At 32.4% G+C, this 2,148-nt stretch overlaps 1 annotated feature.

Annotated features, from left to right (window-relative positions):
* Nucleotides 249-767: an enhancer, noted in NCBI's record as "NANOG hESC enhancer chr12:61375160-61375678 (GRCh37/hg19 assembly coordinates)". NCBI's record gives its function as "activates a minimal SCP1, AML or CMV promoter by ChIP-STARR-seq in naive H9 embryonic stem cells {active_cell/tissue: H9 hESC(naive)}" and the evidence as "EXISTENCE:reporter gene assay evidence [ECO:0000049][PMID:30033119]".

Genomic DNA, 2,148 nt, shown 5'->3' with positions numbered 1-2,148 from the left:
CAACAATTATATGGCAATTTGGAAAAGAAACCAATAAGATATTGCAGGATATTTATCAGAGGCCAAAAAGGAATATGTCAGTTATGAGAGAATAAAAAAGAAAAGTACGAAAAAAGTGCAAGTTTTCCCTGTAGGAGAGGAAAGATAATTTTTTCCTCAACCCTCAAAAATTCTTACAATGGACCCCTGGAACAAAAGACAGATTAACAAGAGAAGAACAAACAGAATATTATTAATACATATGGTTCATATAGTCTACATGGAAAATAACCAGGGAATGAGTAATTCTCAGAGAGGTGGCTTTACATTTCAGTTTACAGTGACAACTGACAAAGACAAGACCCCCCCCAAAAAAAGAGCTTTAAGTCTCTAGGGGTGGCAAACTGGGAGAACGCAAACAAATGGCAGATAAGTTAGCAAATCTCATTAAGTAGATTCCACTGATGTGGTCTCTAGGCTGATAAAGGTTTAAACGTGTCTTCAGAGATCATCCTTTCTCTTCCTTGGTGCAAGGTAGGGGTGATACTTTTTGTCATTGTTAATCTATGACCTGCTGTTAAGCAAATAGATTGAGTGCCAAGAGCCTTCCTGCATATGCTACTCCTGAATTTATTTCAGCTCAAAACAATCCTCATGCCAAAGAAGCATATTTTGGGGTGGCATATTCTGGTCTCCCTCATCACTAAATGAGAGTATAGACTTTGCTGTCTTTACAAAGCCTTGATTGTAAAAATATTCTTAACAGTAGCAACTACTTATTAAGGATTTAAAAATTGCCATTTTTGTTACTTTTATTTAGCTTCAGATTTTGTTACCATAAACAAGTATGTTGTTTAACTCAGATAAATTATATTCTTTAATATTAACAAGTAGGAAACACATAATCCTAAAACATAATGGGACAGCTTCATATGGATATTTAATTCCTCTTTCGAAATCAGTTATTTTCAAATCCCAATGAAAACTATGAGATATCTTTGTTTTGCAAAATATTAAGCATTGATACAGCATATACTGGTATCTTCTTAGGTGTTTAATTATAGACTTTTTTTTATAAAAGTCTCTATGGGTGCATAATTTTAAATGACTGGTCAACAAGTTAAAATGTTAATAAATCTTTACACTTATGAAAGTTTTTTTTAAGGCATTCATTCCTTGTTTTGATTAGATCTGTCTAATTTTAAATATAGAAGCATACAAAACAGTTATGCTACTTCGAGGCATGCTTTATCATAGGAGAAATAGAAGGAGCAAATTCACAAATGGTATTCACAGAAACAAAGTGGGAGGTTTGGGGATTAGAAGCAGGAGGCTTATTTTTATCATTGGCAATTAGTAGGCATTGTGAATTGAGGGTACCCAGTTAATGCCTATTTGTTCTCAGGAAATTACAGCTCAGAAGGAAAGCTGGCACCTTTGGTTTGCTAATCTGCATGGTTTTATGTGCTCCAGTCTTTCAGCCACAATCAAATACTTATTTCCTTGTGTTTGTCTTCATTCACTTCCTGCCTCCTCCTTAGATTTAGCTATCAAATGTCCTTTGCTTTTGACCAGAGGCTCTTCAACAAAAATACTGTTCCTGACATCATTATTCTTTTGTAAAGAGAAATGCCTAGGCATATAGTAACCTATATAGTTTCTTTTCCTTGATCACACACTAGTATTCAGGTTATTGTGCCAGCATTCTTAAATACTATAAATCAGACTTCTTTCCAATATAATATCGTAAAGGCATTTAGAAAAACAGGATCTCTAAACAGAAAATTGTATTGTAAATAATATATTTTTAACATTTCTTTAAGTCTGGGATCTTCATTTACTTTTAGGTTTTTGTTTATTTTTTAAGGCAATCTATAAGATATATATATATCTTATATAAACATATTTGTACATATACCCATATATATGTACGTATTTATCTTTCTATTTATTATTTTAAATTATCAGTTGTATTAAGGTTTTTTGCTGGTAACAAGGTTTTTTTTCTGTAAATATCCATTTCTTTTCAAGTCACAGTCTCTTTTTTGACAACAATCTCTAAACCAGAGAGGGGTGTGTTTTAAAAGTAGTGTGTAGGAGGTATTAGCACAAATTCTGTTATACATGAACAGAATTTTTGCACATAACTTCTTCACGGTTATTTAAAAA

The sequence above is a fragment of the Homo sapiens genome, chromosome 12 (assembly GCF_000001405.40).
Source record: "Homo sapiens chromosome 12, GRCh38.p14 Primary Assembly".
Classification (NCBI taxonomy): Eukaryota; Metazoa; Chordata; class Mammalia; order Primates; family Hominidae; genus Homo; species Homo sapiens.
This window is presented reverse-complemented; position numbering and strand designations above follow the sequence as displayed.